Below are 19,550 nucleotides of genomic sequence, written 5' to 3'. Positions count from 1 at the left end.
TTATATTCATGATCCTTGCCAAACCAGTAAAGGACAGACTCTCGTGTGTCTAAACTTGTGATCTGATCTAAACTTAAAATGGAGATCCCCGAACCCCACTCTCCCACTCAGTATTTACTAGGTTTTCAATTAGTTCTTCAAGCCATTTTAATGAAAACTGAAGTTTGAGTACTGTGATTGGCTCAGAATCTGAAGGTTAAGAGGTTATCCTCTAGAGGTTAAGAGCATGGACTCAGTGCTTATCTTGGGATGATAATTTTATTTCCCTTGTGTGCCTTTAACACAGCATAGGATGTGTGCTCGATGAAGGCTGGCTGTAATGACAGTCGTCAGACCAAAGCTCCATAGTTCCAATGCCTTTGCTTCTTGTGTGCTGACTTTAAATAAACTCATTTCCCCTTTAAGAATGCTCCAAATGATCATTTTCACTGGATTTAAAACCTACAGAATTAGGTGTATATTTTTAATTGAAAAAATAAGCATCCTGCATTTTTTTTTCAGAGGCCAGGGGCTTCTTTCTTATGATCTAGTTATGTCACCACACATGAGAAAGCCTAGAATTCTTTAAGTAGAAGCATCTTTGTCCAGTTGTGTTCAATGTGAGAGAGGCACAGGCTGAGTTGCCCCCAAGTCACTGACACATGAGTAAGCAATTCGGAATTATTTGCAGCCTCAGAACAAGTGAAGACTAGATCTCAGATGGACAAGGAATGAAGGAACTAGCTGAGGAGAGAGGAGCCCCACTGAAAAATGAATCTAGGCTATTTTCATAGAAACAAATTATTTGAGCACCATATACTGCATTATTTACACACTTCATTCTGACTCTGACTTCAAGAATAACTAACTCCATGAAATGAATGCCATATACATTGTATCTAATGTCATTAATACAAATTTAAAAAATAAATACTATTTTTAAACAATTGATTTTAGGTAAAATGAAGTGATTGTGCTCCACATAAAATTGTGAGTTTTCAGCTAGACAATTATAGTTTTCTTGGTCTCAAGTCCTCAATACTTGGAGAAACTGCTGGAGCAGTAATCTATTTCTTACATTATCCTCAGCAGCTAAATGCGTTTTCAGTTTTTCTTCCTCACTCTTGGACTATTGAAAATCATTACCATTGCAGCAAGACTAATTTTTGTACCATTACAAATACTGACATTTATTCTTAATGACTCTGTGTGTGGAAGCCAAAAAGCTATTGCCATCGATTGTATGCAGAAAGTTCTTTTAGTCACAATTATAGCATTTGTAGAAATTTTAAAATCTGAAATTGCAGATGTCTTGGATGATAAATTCTCAATTATCAGTAAAATAAGAAAGATGATTTTCTAAAGCAAATTTAAAAACATCTGGAACTTAACGTCTAATTTTGACCCTCACTATGATGTTTTTTTTTTCTCAATTCCAATATAAAATGGTCTTTTTATAAGATCACACTCACCTCCCCCAAAGTGTAGCAAAGATTTCCTGGGATTCTGAGTTCTCTAAACAGATTTTCTCAAATAAAGTTTGAGCATTGATTTTATATAAATTCCCTTTAGTCTGCTAGAATTTCACATGTGATCCTTTCCCTAAAACACTTTAGTGCATTATTTTTTACTGAAATGATTTAAAAACCTTCTATTGTCCTTCCTGCCAACTTATTTCTTTCTCCACTTTCCTTATTTTCCCTTAAGCCTAGTTTAGGGGAGACTCAACTATTTAGTGGAAGATAATGATTTCCAGGTTTTATTTATTTATTTATTTATTTATTTATTTATTTTTCTTTACAAACTCATCCCTATTTCCAAACAAATATCATCTCTGGAAATATAAGCCCCTTACTCTTATACCTCTTGGTCAAATTTCTTGCAGATACAACCAAACCAACTGTTAATGGATTTGTGATTGAAATTGCTACATTAGTCAAAGCTTAGCCATAACTTCTTATGAGAAGTTTCTTTTTTTATTTCTGTCATCTATATTGATAAAAATTCTTCTTGATCCTCCATAACACTTTATTTTTAATGCACTTATCACATTACACTATAAGTCCTATTTATTTGTCTGTATCCTTTATTAGACAATAGAAACTGTCAGCCTTGTGCCTAGCATAATATGTGTCTGAGTGCCGATCTCAGGACCTCTCAACCTCCATAATTGCATGAAATATATGTGTATTGTAATTATATATATATGCTATGTATTATTATAAGATTATATATTATTATGAGAGAAAATATTAACAAAATATCAATAAATATAGGAGAACAGAGACTAATACACCAAGTAATTAATGAGAGGGAGAGAAAAGGAAAGGAGCAAGGGAGGGAAAGAAGGTGAGAAAAAGAGAGAACCAATACAAACTCTGAATTTTGTATTACAGGCTGGAATTATTTCAGATATACCAATTGCATCAACTTAAACATGTCAAACACATTTACTAATATCACCAAAGCTATAGCTAGAATAAAAATAGATCTGCTTGCTGAGCCAAAATTATGCACAACACCCTATCTGCAATAGGAAAAAGCTTAATGAAATGGTGGGAGTAAGGGAAGGGGATACTGACTGTGTGGCATACAAGGCTAAATTTGAACACCAGAGGGCGGCAGGGCATTTTCTCATTTGAAATATAGTCTCTAAATTCTTGCTGTAAAAATCATTTGAAATCAGCCACGTTTACTGAATGGCCACTGTATACAGACCCTTGAATAATATGTTGAAGAAATTTCTTAAGAAATAATATATACAGCTCACAAGATTTAAATTGCAATAACTTTTAAATCTACCATAGAACCTATGTTTTCTTATTTCAGTCAATGTTTCCTAAATCAGTTAAAACCAAAGTTGCTAATGCTCATGCCTCTTTTAGCATCAGACTGTAATTTACTAAGTGGCATTCTACTTTCTTTGTCCAAATTCTTTCTGAATAAATGACAGTGACTAAATTAGTGCTAATTCTCTTCTCCAGTATTCAACCTGCTTCACATCATAGTTTTCAGAAAATCACTTTTGTTCTTCATGTGAAGAAATACAAGCAAAATTTTAGAGCTAGAAAGTAGACAAGATCATGGAAACCAACTTTTTGTACCTCTTTATTTTGCAGATGAAGCAGCTGAGAAGAGAAATATCTTCCTAATATCATACTATTTTCAAGTGCTACATTGATCAATATAGTAGCGATTAGCCACATGTTGCTATTTAAGCTTAAATTACAAAAAATAAAATTTTAAAATGCAGTTTCTCAGTTTCACTGCAAATGCTCAATATAGCTACATATGACTAGTGACTACTGTATTATTCAGACAGATACCAAACATGTTCCTCTTTGCATAAAGTTGTTTTCCTTTTTTAAAAACTATACATTTATCTTAACCACATTGTAATTTATGTTTAATTACATTGCGTAATTCCAATGTAAAAAAAATTGTGTCTTATCCATAGACTTCTTTGGAGTATTTTCCAAGTCTACTCCCCCATCTTCATTTCTATAGCCACTACTGCAATAGGCTTTTATCATTTCATATTCTTTGGTGTGATCACTGCAAGAGCAGTCAACGCTGGAGAAATTTTTGCTCCTCTAATTCAATAATAATAATAACTAACATACATTAAGAACTACCAACTACCAGGCCCTTTGTATATACCTTATATGAAAAATTGCATATTTTTTTTTAACTTTTATTTTAGGTTCAACAGTATGTATGCAAGTTTGTTATACAGGTAAACACTTGTCACTGGTGTTTGTCATGCAGATTATTGTATAAAGTTCTTTAAAACAGTGCTAAACCAGAGAAAGAGCTGGAATAAAACCAGATCTCTTGAGAAGACGTGCCAGAGAAATTGAGCCAGAAAAATGAGATTTCAGCAAACACAAAGAAAAAGAAAGTTTCAAGAAGGAAATAATACAACAGGGGTGTTAGGCAGGTGGAAAATGAAAAGCATTCATTGATTCTCTTGTTTCAGGAATCTCGTTAAATAACTATATACAGTGCTTCTCAAATCCCAGGATCCTAAAATAATATCCTGATTTTCCAGAAAGATAATATAATTGTAACAAAATGAGGTGTACTAAAGTTTAAGACAAAATTGTATATAATATCAATTAATTAGCATTGACACATGTCCAATTTTAATTTTTTGTCATGTAAACTTTACAAAATGCTTGCAAAATTAAAAACTGAAGGAAAGCTAAACTAATATGGTGCCTTATAAGGACATCGGCCACTACCTCAGTGGTACGCAAGCATTGTGTACCCTCTGCAAGGTATTTTATTCACATTAAATTCCCATGTTGGTGACCCAGGCAAAAGCATTAAAGTGGGAAGAAAGAGCCTAAGGCCAAATACCAGAATGGAATGAAAGAACAAAAAGGATGAATGTAGAAACATCAACTATTAAAGACCAGGAGTTTGTTTCACTGCACTGACTACTTTAAGATTAATAGATGAACTTCAGACAAGTTCACAGATCTTCTGAAACCACGTACAAAACTTTCTAGGTTTGGGCATTTGTTTCTTCTTCTGTAGATACAGTGCATAGTGTATCATTTGAAAATAAAGAAAAAAAGGTGAAAACTAATTGAGCAAGGTCCATGAGGAAGCAGGTAAGAAAAGGAATCAGGAAGAAAGGGAGAAGTAAGTCTTCCTTCTCAGAGTTACAAAAGCCTCAGTTTTGGTCATCGAAGTGAAGAAAGGTGGATAGGCAGAGAAACGGTCTTGAATAATCAGATCATGGAGGCCTGAAAAATTGTTTACAGACCTTCACATTTCTTCTTGATTTCTCTGAAGCTTTCTCCAAATATTTTTTGCTATATATGATCGCTACATAGAAAACTGTATTTCTAAAACCATATAATACATTGTATAGAATATATCTATAAACAATGATTATAAACTAATTTATCAATAAATACTAAGTAAGCACTTAAGCTGATTGTGATCAGTGCTATGTTTTAATATTCTGGTCTTGTACCAAGACCAGAACCCTCCAAAAAGAGATCTAGATGCGGTATAACTTTAATGTTTTGAAAACATTTAGTATGTTTGAGAATCTTCCTTTCCTTTGTTGCTCATGTTACCTCTCTCCAGCCTGTCCAAAGTCCTCATTGTACTTTACAATAAGCAGTCAAGTTCCTAGGCAGCCTGTCTAATTACAATGCAGCGCTGTTTTCCTCTAGCCTGTCCAGATTAATTTTACTGTAAAGTATATATTTGGAAACCATTGTTATTCTGTTATTGTTTTGATTGTCCTGAAGGTCTCTATTATCAACAATCCAAAAATAAATAAAATGTAACATTTTTAAAGTAATTACCATCTTGAAGAGCCCTATTGCATCATTTAGTCTTTCTAATTACTTTAGACATATGTACTATACATTATTATCTTTTTTTACAGATGACTTAATATAGGCAACAATTCTTGAGTCTCCAAAGCTCATAATTTTAGCTATTCACTCCTACAGCCTATCAGTCAAAAACAAATAAACATATATCTGAGTGTCTAAAACACTGAGACCTAGTGGTAAGAAAGAGATACATTCTCTGTCTCCTTGAGTGTCACACTCTGGGAAGAAGGTACAATTAAACAAATAGTGACAAAACTAATAACTTAATTATAAATGGAATATGAAAGCCCATAACTTGGCCAGCTAACTCAGTCTGGTAGGATGCAGCAAAGGATTCCTTAAGGGCTTAAAAAATGGACAAACAATTGAAAAGAAAATACAGCTAGAGGCAAAATAGCTTGAGATACTTTTGGAGACGTCCCTGACTCATGATTAAGTAATAATTAATTCTTCATGCTTTTGTATAAACAGAAGAAACACATTAGTATGTTGAAGAAAAATCCTAATTTCTTTGTTTGTAAACATTCTAGAATAATGGATTTAGATGATCAGTTTTTTTAATCCCAGCTGGTATTTGTTGTGCAGACAGATGCTGTTGCTCCTCCTGGAGCATTTCATTCAAGTTGACTGATGATTCCTTCAAGATTTGTTCCTCCCTAAGCTATGATATTGAGGGAGGAGTCCTGGAGGAAATTCTATTCTGTTTCCTTGAAGAATGCAGTTAGTTTTGGGAGAGAGTTGGCAGTGCAGGAGAGGTGATAAGGTAAGGTCTGTAACTCATCCGGAGGGCTCAGTTGAATGGAGAGGTGGGGTTTGGAAGGATGATGGTAGGAAATTTCTCAGGTTATAGCTATAATGCAATATTGATTTAACAAAAGAAAAGCCTATTAATATCTGGTTATTTTTCTGGAAATTCCTCTCATACCTGATGAGGTGAAAAGATGGGGATACCATCTATTTGGAGAACCGCCTCTTTAATTGCTGTTTTGTGAAATATATTACTCCAGGTTTATTTTTTTTTTCAGGTGGATTAAAGAGATAAAGCATCAATCAGGACAAAAGTTGGGACATTGTTTATTATCTTCATATTGGTGTGACTGCGGCCTAAAAAATTATATATTTATTTTCAATGTATTTTTGTGTTTTATTAAGATAAACATGAACATAGTTTAAAAAGTTAAATAGTCCTAAAAGACATAAAACTCTCTCATCTTCCTGAATTCTCTTCCTGATAACCAATTATTTAAATCATTTTAGTGGTTTCACCTGTAATGTTCTACCACATTTACAAAAAATAGATAAAAACTGCTGTCTTCTAATTCATCCATATTAGATACTATCTATAACATTTCTATTATATAAAATTAACATTTTACCTCTCATTCATTCACTTTCCATGCAGTCATTCTGCCACTGTGGCTATATGACACTGATTACGCCCACACTGGTTATTTTCATAATTATGATTCTGTTGAGTCAGAGAGTACTGTAATCATATTGCTTCAAATATATGGGTGTGTATATATATATATATATTTGTTTTTCTTAGAGTTAATATTTGGATAACTTTTTAAATGTATTTTTTTAAACCATTGGCCAAGTATTCTGACACCTTTCATTTCTGTAATACACCATTGTTCCTCTACCTCCAGTCTGCAGCAAGTACCCTGGGGGCCTCCTGTGCATCTCCCTTTCGGCACATCCATTCACATCATGAGGAAACGCCTCTTTGCATTTCTCATATATTGAAACCTTGTTTATTCGATACCAGGAACTGTTTCATTTTGCTCCCTCTTTGGATATATTACACCTTTCAATAACTTCTTTAGCAAGAATACATAAAGGTGAAAAAGTGCATATAAAATACATTTTGGGGAACTTCCATGTTTAAAAATTATTTGTATTCTCTCATATTGATTTATGGCCTGAATGTGTATAGAAATCTAGATTAGAGATAAATTTTGTACAGAAATTTGAATATGCCACTCTATTGTCTTCTGGATTCCAATGCTGCTATTGATACATTTGATACCATTTACAGCCCAATCCCTTGTTCTTGTTTTTAATCTACAGACTTTATTACAATCTCGCTAGTGCCCATCAATGTCATTTTTCTGGTTCAAGATCCATTTCAGGCAATCTGGCAAGATGGCCGAATAGGAACAGCTCCAGTCTGCAGCTCCCAGCAAGACCAACACAGAAGGCGGGTGATTTCCGCATTTCCAACTGAGATACCCAATTCATCTCATTGGGACTGCTTAGGCAGTGGGTGCAGCCCATGGAGGGCGAACAGAAGCAGGGTGGGGCATTGCCTCACCCAGGAGCCAGGGGACCTCCCTCCCCTAGCCAAGGGAAGCTGTGAGGGACTGTGCTACCCTGCCCAGATACTGTACTTTTCCCATGTATTTTGCAATCTGCAGATCAAGAGAGTCCCTCGTGTGCCTCCCTGGGTATCGAGCACAAAACTGGGCTGCTGTTTGGGCAGACACTGAGCCAGCTGTAGGAGTTTTGTGTGTGTGTGTTCCCCAGTGGCACCTGGAACCCCAGCAAGACAGAATCATTCACTCCCCTGGAAAGGGGACTGAAGCCAGGGAGACAAGTGGTCACACTCAGCAGGTCCCACTCCCATGGAGCCCACAAAGCTAAGAACCACAGGCTTGAAATTCTCACTGCCAGCACAGCAGTCTGAAGTTGACCTGGGATGAAGGAGCTTGGTAGGGGGAGGGGCATCCACCATTACTGAGGCTTTAGTAGGCGGTTTCCCCCGAGAGTGCTAAGGAGGCTGGGAGGTCTGGACTGGATGGTATTCACCACAGCGTGGCAAATCGGCTGTCACCAGACTCCTTCTTTAGATTCCTGCTCACTGGGCAGGGCATTTCTGAAGAAAAGGCAGCAGCACCAGTCAGGGGTTTACAGATAAAAGTCCTATCTACCTGGGACAGAGCACCTGGGAGAAGGGATGGCTGTGGGCGCAGCTTTAGCGGACTTAACCTTTCCTGCCAGCCAGCTCTGAAGAGAGCAGCTGATCCTGACAAGGAGGATTCTCCCAGCACAGCATTCAAGCTCTGCTAAGGGACAGACTGCCTCCCTCAAGTGGGTCCCTGACCCCTATGCCTCCTGACTGGAGAGACCTCCCAATAGGGGTCAACAGACACCTCATACAGGATAGCTCCAGCGGTATTAGTTTGGTGCCCCTCTGGGACGAAGCTTCCAGAGGAAAGAGCAGGCAGCAATCTTTGATGTTCTGCAGCCTCCATTGGTGATACCCAGGTGAACGGTCTGGAGTGGACCTCCAGCAATTTTCAGCCAACGTGCAGAAGAGGAGCCTGACTATTGGAAGAAAAACTAACAGGCAGCAACAACATCAACATCAACAAAAAGGACCCCCACAAAAAAACCCCGTCAAAAGGGCATCAACCTCAAAGATCGAAGGTAGATAAATTCACAAAGATGAGGAAAAACCAGGACAAAAATGCTGAAAATTCCAAAAAGCATAATGCCTCTTCTCCATATGATCGCAGCTTCTCTCCGGTAAGGGCACAAAACTGGATGGAGAATGGGACTGATAAATTGACAGAAGTAGGCTTCCGAAGGTGGTTAATAACAAACTCCTCTGAGCTAGCGGAGCATGTTCTAACTCAATGCAAGGAAGCTAAGAACCTTGATAAAAGTTTACAGGAACTGCTAACTAGAATAACCAGTTTAGAGAGGAACATAAATGACCTGATGGAGATGAAAAACACAGCACAAGAACTTTGTGAAGCATACACACGTAGTGGAATCAATCAAGCAGAAGAAAGGATATCAGAGATGGAAGGTCAACTTACTGAAATAAGGTGTGAAGACAAGAGTAGAGAAAAAAAAGAATGAAAAGGAATGAAAAAGCCTCCAAGAAATGTGGGACTATGTGAAAAGACCAAACCTACGATTGATTGGTGTACCGGAAAGTGACAGGGAGAATGGAACCAAGTTGGAAAACTCACTTCACAATATTATCCAGGAGAACTTCCCCAACATAGCAAGACAAGCCAAGATTCAAAATTGGGAAAATACAGAGAACACCACTAAGATACTCCTCGAGAAGAACAACCCCAAGACACATAATCATGAGATTTTCCAAGGTTGAAACAAAGGAAAAAATGTTAAGGACAGCCAGAGAGAAAGGTCAGGTTACCTACAATGGGAAGCCCATCAGACTAACAGCGAATCAGGCTGCAGAAACCCTACAAGCCAGAAGAGAGTGGGGGCCAATATTCAACATTCTTAAAGAAAAGAATTTTCAACCCAGAATTTCATATCTAGCCAAACTAAGCTTCATAAGTGAAGGAAAAATAAAATCCTTTACACACAAGCAAATGTTGAGAGATTTTGTCACCACCAGGCCTGCAATACAATAGCTCCTCAAAGAAGCACTAAATATAGAAAGGAAAAACTGGTACCAGCCACTGCAAAAACACACCAAAATATAAATACCAAGTGACATGACACTATGAAGAAACTGCATCAACTAATGTGCAACATAACCAGCTAGCATCATGATGACAGGATCAAATTCACTCATAACAATATTAAACTTAAATGTAAATGGGCTAATTCCCCAATTTAAAGACACAGACTGGCAAATTGGATAAAAAGTCAGGAACCATCAGTGTGCTGTATTCAGGAGACCCATCTAATGTGCAAAGACACACACAGGCTCAAATAAAGGATGGAGGAATATTTACCAAGCAAATGAACAAAAAACAGGAGTTGCAATCCTAGTCTCTGACAAAACAGACTTTAAACCAACAAAGATCAAAAAAGACAAAGAAGGGTATTACAGAGTGGCAAAGGGATCAATGCCACAAGAAGAGCTAACTATCCGAAATACATATGCATCCAACACAGAAGCACCCAGATTCATAAAACAAGTTCTTAGAGACCTACAAAGAGACTTAGACTCCTACCCAATAATAGTGGAAGACTTTAACACCCCACTGTCAATATTAGACACATCAAAGAGACAGAAAATTCACAAGGGTGTTTAGAACATGAACTCAGCTCTGGACCAAGCAGACCTAATAGACATCTACAGAACTCTCCACCCCAAATCAACAGAATATGCATTCTTCTCAGCACCATATGGCACTTAATTCTAAAATCGAACACATAATTGGAAGTAAAACACTCCACAGCAAATGCAAAATAATGGAAATTATAACAATCTCTCAGACCACACTGCAGTCAAATTAAAACTCAGGACTAAGAAACTCAAAACTGCACAACTGCGTGGAAATACAACAACATGCTTCTGAATGACTACTGGGTGAATAACCAAATTAAGGCAGAAATAAGGGAATTATTCAAAACCAATGAGAACAAAGATACAACGTACCAGAATCTCTGGGACGCAGCAAAAGCAGTGTTAAGAGGGAAATAGCACTAAATGCCCACTTCAGAAAGCTGGAAAGATCTGAAATTGACATCAAAACATCACAATTAAAAGAACTAGAAAGCAAGAGCAAACAAATTCAAAAGCCAGCAGATGACAAGAAGTAACTAAGATCAGAGCAGAACTGAAGGAGATAGAGACATAAAATCCTTTCAAAAATCAATGAATCCAGGAGCTGGGTTTTGGAAAAGATTAACAAAATAGACCACTAGCTAGACTAATCAAGAAGAAAAGAGAGAAGAATCAAATAGACACAACAAAAAATGATAAAGGAGGTATCACCACTGATCCCACAGAAATTCAAACTACCGTCAGAGAATACTACAAACAACTCTATGCAAATAAACTATAAAATCTGGAAGAAATGGATAAATTCCTGGACACACACATCCTCGCAAGACTAAACCAGGAAGAAGTCGAATCCTAGACCAGTAACAAGTTCTGAAATTGAGGCAGTAATTAATAGCTTACCAACCAAAAAAAGTCCAGGACCAGATGGATTCAGAGCCAAATTCTACCAGAGGTGCAAAGAGGAGCTGGTACCATTTCTTCTGAAACTATTCCAAACAATAGAAAAAGACTCCTTCCTAACTCATTTTATGAGGCCAGCATCATCCTGATCCCAAAACCTGGGAGAGACACAACAACAAAAAATTTCAGGCCAATATCCCTGATGAACATTGATGCAAAAATCCTCAATAAAATACTGGAAAACCGAATCCAGCAGCACATCAAAAACCTTATCCACCACTATCAAGTCGGCTTTATCCCTGGGATGCAAGGCTGGTTCAACATATGCAAATCAATAAATGTAATCCATCACATAAACAGAACCAAGGGCAAAAACCACATGATAATCTCAATAGATGCAGAAAAAGCCTGTGATAAAATTCAACATCTGTTCATGTTAAAAACTTAATAAACTAGGTATTGATGGGACATATCTCAAAATAATAAGAGCTATTTGTGACAAACCCATAGCCAATATCATATTGAATGGACAAAAGCTGGAAGCATTCCCTTTGAAAACTGGCACAAGACAAGGATGCCCTGACTCACCACTCCTATTCAATATGATATTGGAAGTTCTGGCCAGGGCAGAACTTCAGGCAAGGGAAAGAAATAAAGCGTATTCAAATAGAAAGAGAAGAAGTCAAATTGTCTCTGTTTTCAGATGACACGATGTATATTTAGAAAACCCCATTGTCTCAGCCCAAAAACTCCTTAAGCTGATAAGCAACTTCAGCAAAATCTCAGGATACCAAATCAATGTGCAAAAATTACAAGCATTCCTATAGACCAATAATAGACAAGCAAAGAGCCAAATCATGAGTAAACTCCCATTCACAATCGCTACAAAGAGGATAAAATACTTAGGAATACAACTTACAAGTACCTTCCCTGAGCAAAGGACCTCTTCAAGCAGAACTACAAACCACTGCACAAGGAAATAAAAGAGGACACAAACAAATGAAAAAAAAATTCCATGCTTATGGATAGGAAGAATCAATATCATGAAAATGGCCATACTGCCCAAAGTAATTTATAGATTCAATGCCATTCCCATCAAGGTACCATTGACTATTTTTGCAGAATTAGAAAAAAAACTACTTTAAATTTCATATGGAACCAAAAAAGAGCCTGTATAACCAACACAATCCTAAGCAAAAACAACAAAGGTGGAGGCATCACGCTACCTGACTTCAAACTGTGCTACAGGGCTACAGTAACCAAAACAGCATGTTACTAGTACCAAAACAGATATATAAACCAATGGAACAGAACAGAGACCTCAGAAATAACACCACACATCTATAACCATCTGTTCTTCGACAAACCTGACAAAAACAAGCAATGGGAAAAGGATTCCCTATTTAGTAAATGATGTTGGGAAAACTGGGTAGCCATATGCAGAAAACAGAAACTGGACCCCTTTCCTTATACCATATACAAAAATTAACTCAAGATGGATTAAAGACTTAAATGTGAAACCTAAAACCATAAAAACCCTAGAAGAAAACCTAGGCAATACCATTCAGGACATAGGCATGGGCAAAGACTTCATGACTGAAACACCAAAAGCAATTGCAACAAAAGCCAACATTGGCAAATGAGATCTAATTAAACTAAAGAGCTTCTGCACAGCAAAAGGAACTACCATCAGAGTGAACAGGCAGCCTGCAGAATGGGAGAAAAGTTTTACAGTCTATCCATCTGACAAAGATCTAATGTCCAGAATCTACAAGGAACTTAAACAAATTTACAAGAAAAAAACAACCCCATCAAAAAGTGAGCAATGGATATGAACAGACACTTCTCAAAAGAAGACACTTATGCGGCCAACAAACATATAAAAGATCATCATCACTGGTCATTAGAGAAATGCAAATCAAAATCACAGTGAGATACCATCTCATGCCAGTTAGAAGGGTGATCATTACAAAGTCAGGGAACAACAGATGCTGGCAGCACTGTGGAGAATTAGGAACTCTTTTACACTGTTGGTGGAATGCAAATTAGTTCAACCATCATGCAAGACAGTGTGGTGGTTCCTCAAGGATCTAGAGCCAGAAATACCATTTAACCCAGCAATCTAATCACTGTGTATATACCCAAAGCATTATAAATCATTCTACTATAAAGACACATGCACACGTATGTTTATTGCAGTGCTATTTACAATAACAAAGATTGGAACCAACCCCAATGCCCATCAGTGATGGACTGGATAAAGAAAGTGGGGCATATATACACTATGGAATACTATGCAGCCATAAAAAAGAATGAGCTCATGTCCTTTGCAGGATAATGAATGAAGCTGGAAGCCATCATTCTCATCAAACTAACACAGGAACAGAAAACAAAGCACCACATCTTCTCACTCATAAGTGGGAGCTGAACAATGAGAACACATGGACACAGGGAGGGGAAAGTCACAATCTGGGCCTGTCAGAGGGTGGGGAGCAAGGGGAGGGAGAGCATTAGAACAAATACATAATGCATGTGGGGCTTAAAACCTAGAAGACAGGTTGATAGGTGCACCCAACCACCATGGCACATGTATATCTATGTAACAAACCTGCACATACTGCACATGTATCCCAGAACTTAAAATGTAAAATAAAATAAAATAAACGTTTGATAGAAAAGAGCAATGAAAAAAAAAGATCCATTTCAGAGTTCCATGCTATATTTAATTGTTATATTGCCTTAGTCTCCTGTAATCCATGACTGTTCCTTGGTCTTTCTTTGCCTTTCAAAAGCTTGACACTTTGAAGAGGACGGACCAATTATTTTGTGGAATATTCCTTAATTTGAGCTGCTCTGATGTATTCTCCTGTTTATATTAAATTTATGCATATTTGGGAAAATGCCACAGAAATGATATTGATGCCTTTACAGTGAATTATATCAGGAGAAACATGGTACCTGAAGTCTTATTATTGGTGATATTAACTTTGGTCATTTGATTATGTTGGACTTTGTTAGGATAATCCACTATAAAGTTACTATTTTCCTCTTTGTAATGAATATCTATCCTATAACTAGATTCTTTGAGACTGTGCAAATATTTTCTTTCACTAATCTTAGAATCCATCAATGAGTCTTGCCTACACTAACACGACTTTTTAAAAAAATTAAATAATAGACTTTCCTTTTTTTTTTTTTTAATTATACTTTTAAGTTTTAGGGTACATGTGCACATTGTGCAGGTTAGTTACATATGTATACATGTGCCATGCTGGTGCGCTGCACCCACTAACTCATCATCTAGCATTAGGTATATCTCCCAGTGCTATCCCTCCCCCCTCCCCCCACCCCACCACAGTCCCCAGAGTGTGATATTCCCCTTCCTGTGTCCATGTGATCTCATTGTTCAATTCCCACCTATGAGTGAGAACATGCGGTGTTTGGTTTTTTGTTCTTGCGGTAGTTTACTGAGAATGATGATTTCCAATTTCATCCATGTCCCTACAAAGGACATGAACTCATCATTTTTTAGGGCTGCATAGTATTCCATGGTGTATATGTGCCACATTTTCTTAATCCAGTCTATCATTGTTGGACATTTGGCTTGGTTCCAAGTCTTTGCTATTGTGAATAATGCCACAATAAACATACGTGTGCATGTGTCTTTATAGCAGCATGATTTATAGTCCTTTGGGTATATACCCAGTAATGGGATGTCTGGGTCAAATGTTATTTCTAGTTCTAGATCCCTGAGGAATCGCCACACTGACTTCCACAATGGTTGAACTAGTTTACAGTCCCACCAACAGTGTAAAAGTGTTCCTATTTCTCCACATCCTCTCCAGCACCTGTTGTTTCCTGACTTTTTAATGATCACCATTCTAACTGGTATGAGATGGTATCTCATTGTGGTTTTGATTTGCATTTCTCTGATGGCCAGTGATGATGAGCATTTTTTCATGTGTTTTTTGGCTGCATAAATGTCTTCTTTTGAGAAGTGTCTGTTCATGTCCTTTGCCCACTTTTTGATGGGGTTGTTTGTTTTTTTCTTGTAAATTTGTTTGAGTTCATTGTAGATTCTGGATATTAGCCCTTTGTCAGATGAGTAGGTAGAAAAAGAGGGAATCCTCCCTAACTCATTTTATGAGGCCAGCATCATTCTGATACCAAAGCCGGGCAGAGACACAACCAAAAAAGAGAATTTTAGACCAATATCCTTGATGAACATTGATGCAAAAATCCTCAATAAAATACTGGCAAAACGAATCCAGCAGCACATCAAAAAGCTTATCCACCATGATCAAGTGGGCTTCATCCCTGGGATGCAAGGCTGGTTCAATATATGCAAATCAATAAATGTAATCCAGCATATAAACAGAGCCAAAGACAAAAACCACATAATTATCTCAATAGACGCAGAAAAAGCCTTTGACAAAATTCAACAATGCTTCATGCTAAAAACTCTCAATAAATTAGGTATTGATGGTACGTATTTCAAAATAATAAGAGCTATCTATGAAAAACCCACAGCCAATATCATACTGAATTGGCAAAAACTGGAAGCATTCCCTTTGAAAACTGGCACAAGACAGGGATGCCCTCTCTCACCACTCCTATTCAACATAGTGTTGGAAGTTCTGGCCAGGGCAATTAGGCAGGAGAAGGAAATAAAGGGTATTGAATTAGGAAAAGAGGAAGTCAAATTGTCCCTGTTTACAGATGACATGATTGTATATCTAGAAAACCCCATTGTCTCAGCCCAAAATCTCCTTAAGCTGATAAGCAACTTCAGCAAAGTCTCAGGATACAAAATCAATGTACAAAAATCACAAGCATTCTTATACACCAACAACAGACAAACAGAGAGCCAAATCATGAGTGAACTCCCATTCACAATTGCTTCAAAGACAATAAAATACCTAGGAATCCAACTTACAAGGGATGTGAAGGACCTCTTCAAGGAGAACTACAAACCACTGCTCAAGGAAATAAAAGAGGATACAAACAAATGGAAGAACATTCCATGCTCATGTGTAGGAAGAATCAATATCGTGAAAATGGCCATACTGCCCAAGGTAATTTACAGATTCAATGCCATCCCCATCAAGCTACCAATGACTTTCTTCACAGAATTGGAAAAAACTACTTTAAAGTTCATATGGAACCAAAAAAGAGCCCGCATCACCAAGGCAATCCTAAGCCAAAAGAACAAAGCTGGAGGCATCACACTACCTGACTTCAAACTATACTACAAGGCTACAGTAACCCAAACAGCATGGTACTGGTACCAAAACAGAGATATAGATCAATGGAACAGAACAGAGCCCTCAGAAATAACGCCACATATCTACAACTATCTGATCTTTGACAAACCTGAGAAAAACAAGCAATGGGGAAAGGATTCCCTATTTAATAAATGGTGCTGGGAAAACTGGCTAGCCATATGTAGAAAGCTGAAACTGGATCCCTTCCTTACACCTTATACAAAAATCAATTCAAGATGGATTAAAGACTTAAACGTTAGACCTAAAACCATAAAAACCCTAGAAGAAAACCTAGGCATTACCAATCAGGACATAGGCATGGGCAAGGACTTCATGTCTAAAACACCAAAAGCAATGGCAACAAAAGCCAAAATTGACAAATGGGATCTAATTAAACTAAAGAGCTTCTGCACAGCAAAGGAAACTACCATCAGAGTGAACAGGCAACCTACAAAATGGGAGAAAATTTTTGCAACCTAGACTTTACTTTTTAGAGAAGTTTTAAATTTAGCAAAAAATCGAGACAATATTACAAAGAGTACCCATATACCCCCCAAGATATATACACAATTTACTCCATTATTAACATTTTACATTAATAGGGTGTATTTGTTGCAATCAATAAAACAATGTCGAGACATAATTATTAACTAAAGTACATGGTTAATTCAGATATCTTTGGCTTTTGCCTGATGTCCTTTCTCTGTTCTAGGATCCTACTCAGCTTGCCATATTACATTTAGTTGTCATATCCTTAGGTTCCTTTTGGACATGGATATTTCCTAAACTTTCCTTGTTTTGATTTCTATAACAGTTTTGAAGAGTACTGGGTATATTGTATGTTGTTCTTCTATTGGAATTTGTCTGATGTTTCCCTCATTATTAGTCTGGTGATACGGGATTTTGGAGGCATATCACAGAGGTAAAGTGCGATTTTCATGATATCGTATATCAAAGGTACATACAATCAATATGATTTATGACTGTTGATGCTGACCTTGATCACCTGGCAGAAGTAGGGTTTGTCACATTTCTTCACTTTAAAGTTAAATGTCCGTCTCTTTGTCCTTTTTTCCCATACATTCTTGATAATTTCCATAATTTTATTACCAAACCATTTGATAATAATAATAAGCTCTCATAGATTAAATTTCCAAGAGCTCTTTCATATACTGTTCCTTTATGTTTTAGCTTTATTGAAGTTTAATTGAGAAATAAAAGTTACATATATTCAAGGTGTACAATGAGATCATTTAACTTATGTATATATTCTATAATAATTACCATGGTCAAATTAATCAACACATTCATCATTACACATGATTACTATTTGTGTGGGTGTGTGTTTGTGGTGAGGACACTTAAGATATACTCTCTTAGCAAATTCTGACAAAAAAAATAAAGTATTACTGATTGTAGTCATCATGCTGTACACAAGATCCCTAAAATTTATTCATCTTATAACTGAAAGTTTGTGTCTTTTACCAACATCTCCTCTCATTTCTCTTATGTCCCAGCCATTGGAAACCACATTTTTATACTCTGCTTCAGTGAGATGGTGTTTTTTAGATTCCACATACAAGTGAGATCATACAGTATTTTTCTATTCTGTTCCTTTAAAATATGGCATCTTCTTCTTTCTTCATAAATATACCTCTCTTATTTCTCAAATTGATCATATTATGTTTGAATTTTCTTCTGTGCCTTACTATCTCTACCTCCACTGAATCACTTCCTTCAATAAGTTTGTTTCAATTTTTCTCTGCCATGCTGAAGGCATTCCTCAAATATCCAATGATTCTTGTTTAGTGATCACTAAGAAACCAACAGGATACTCTATGCATTTATGCATATGTTTGGGAGTTGAGGAAGTAAATCTTGAGGACTAGCAGACTTTATTCTAGGATGAGCCTGTAATCAGTTAACTTTTTTGTTGAGGACACTAAAATGCCAATATCAGTGGGTCTACCCTATGGGTCAGGTCAGGTTTTTCAGAGGAAGACTTTAGAACAGCCCTTCTGAAATATAAAATATGGGGACCGGATTTCTGGGTTCTGAGTAAGGAAAAGAACCTGGAGTGAGGGGAAGAATGTCATCATTTAGAATACAAACTTTTTAATGTTCCTGTTTCCAGGGCAGAACTTCTCTCCATCTTCTGTGTTTAATACCTCAGATTTCAAGACTCTATAATGCAAATTTTCTAGAGAACATACTTCTCACCTTAAGTAGAGGATGAGAGCAGTAGTCAGGGTGAGTTGGAGCTGGCCTTCTGGTGGTCTAAAGATTTTCAAACAACTTTCTGTTTTCAGCATCCAACCTTGTCCAGTTGCAAGATAACCAGGTCTCTTCAAGGACTGAGATGTCATAGTTGTCTGTAGATAGAATTAGCTTGATTCTTACCAGTTTTACTTTTCACAGACAAGTAAGTTAGACTTTCTTTGTTTTACTTTACTAAATAATTTTTAATTTTTCCACCTACATTCTATTTAATATTGTATGTTTTGATGTTACAGATGTTTCATAGTTTCACTGAAAATGTAATTAGGAATTTCTGGGTTTTGTTTGACTTGTCTTAAATAATTGGGGAAGGGGAAAATATGTGAGAAAAATTTTGAGCTGGTGTTTTATTATTAAACCAAACACAAAGTGGTAGAAATGAATGAAATAATATAACTGTGAAACCTAGTGAATTTGAGGAAATAAACTAGAATCTATTATTATACTATTCAATTGCTTGTTCTTCAATATGAATTCCTTGCTTGATAATTCTAATTTAGGTTGGAGGAAAGGTTTATTGGTAAATTGGATTATGCTTTTGCAAGTTCTAAAATCCTTGAAAGTCACAATATTTTTCCTAATTCAGCAGGGGCATCCAGTCCAAACAGAATGTCAACTGTAGACACAGACATGGCATGACAGAAGTGTTGGTCATCCCCCCAAACTTATTGTTATCTTTATCTACCTTATTAGAAACCTCAATTTTTAGCTCTTGAAATAGGCACCAAAATGAATATGACATTACTCATCTTTCCTTGCAACCAGTTT

At 36.7% G+C, this 19,550-nt stretch overlaps 1 long non-coding RNA gene across 1 annotated transcript in view, besides 1 other annotated feature; it reads right to left on the bottom strand.

The window, feature by feature from the left end:
* The window catches only part of LOC124906087 (uncharacterized), a 46,983-nt gene extending 28,118 nt beyond the window's left edge, over positions 1-18,865 (bottom strand). Inside the window, exon 1 of the long non-coding RNA XR_007087280.1 lies at positions 18,726-18,865. This is a non-coding gene — a long non-coding RNA (uncharacterized LOC124906087). The remainder of the gene's footprint in view (positions 1-18,725) is intronic.
* Positions 8,322-8,575: a silencer, noted in NCBI's record as "fragment chr2:167367421-167367674 (GRCh37/hg19 assembly coordinates)". NCBI's record gives its function as "represses an EF-1alpha promoter that drives an FKBP-Casp9 reporter gene in an ReSE screen in HepG2 liver carcinoma cells {active_cell/tissue: HepG2}" and the evidence as "EXISTENCE:reporter gene assay evidence [ECO:0000049][PMID:32094911]".
* Positions 18,866-19,550: the final 685 nt, after the last annotated feature.

The sequence above is a fragment of the Homo sapiens genome, chromosome 2, assembly GCF_000001405.40.
Source record: "Homo sapiens chromosome 2, GRCh38.p14 Primary Assembly".
NCBI classification, from domain to species: Eukaryota; Metazoa; Chordata; class Mammalia; order Primates; family Hominidae; genus Homo; species Homo sapiens.
This window is presented reverse-complemented; position numbering and strand designations above follow the sequence as displayed.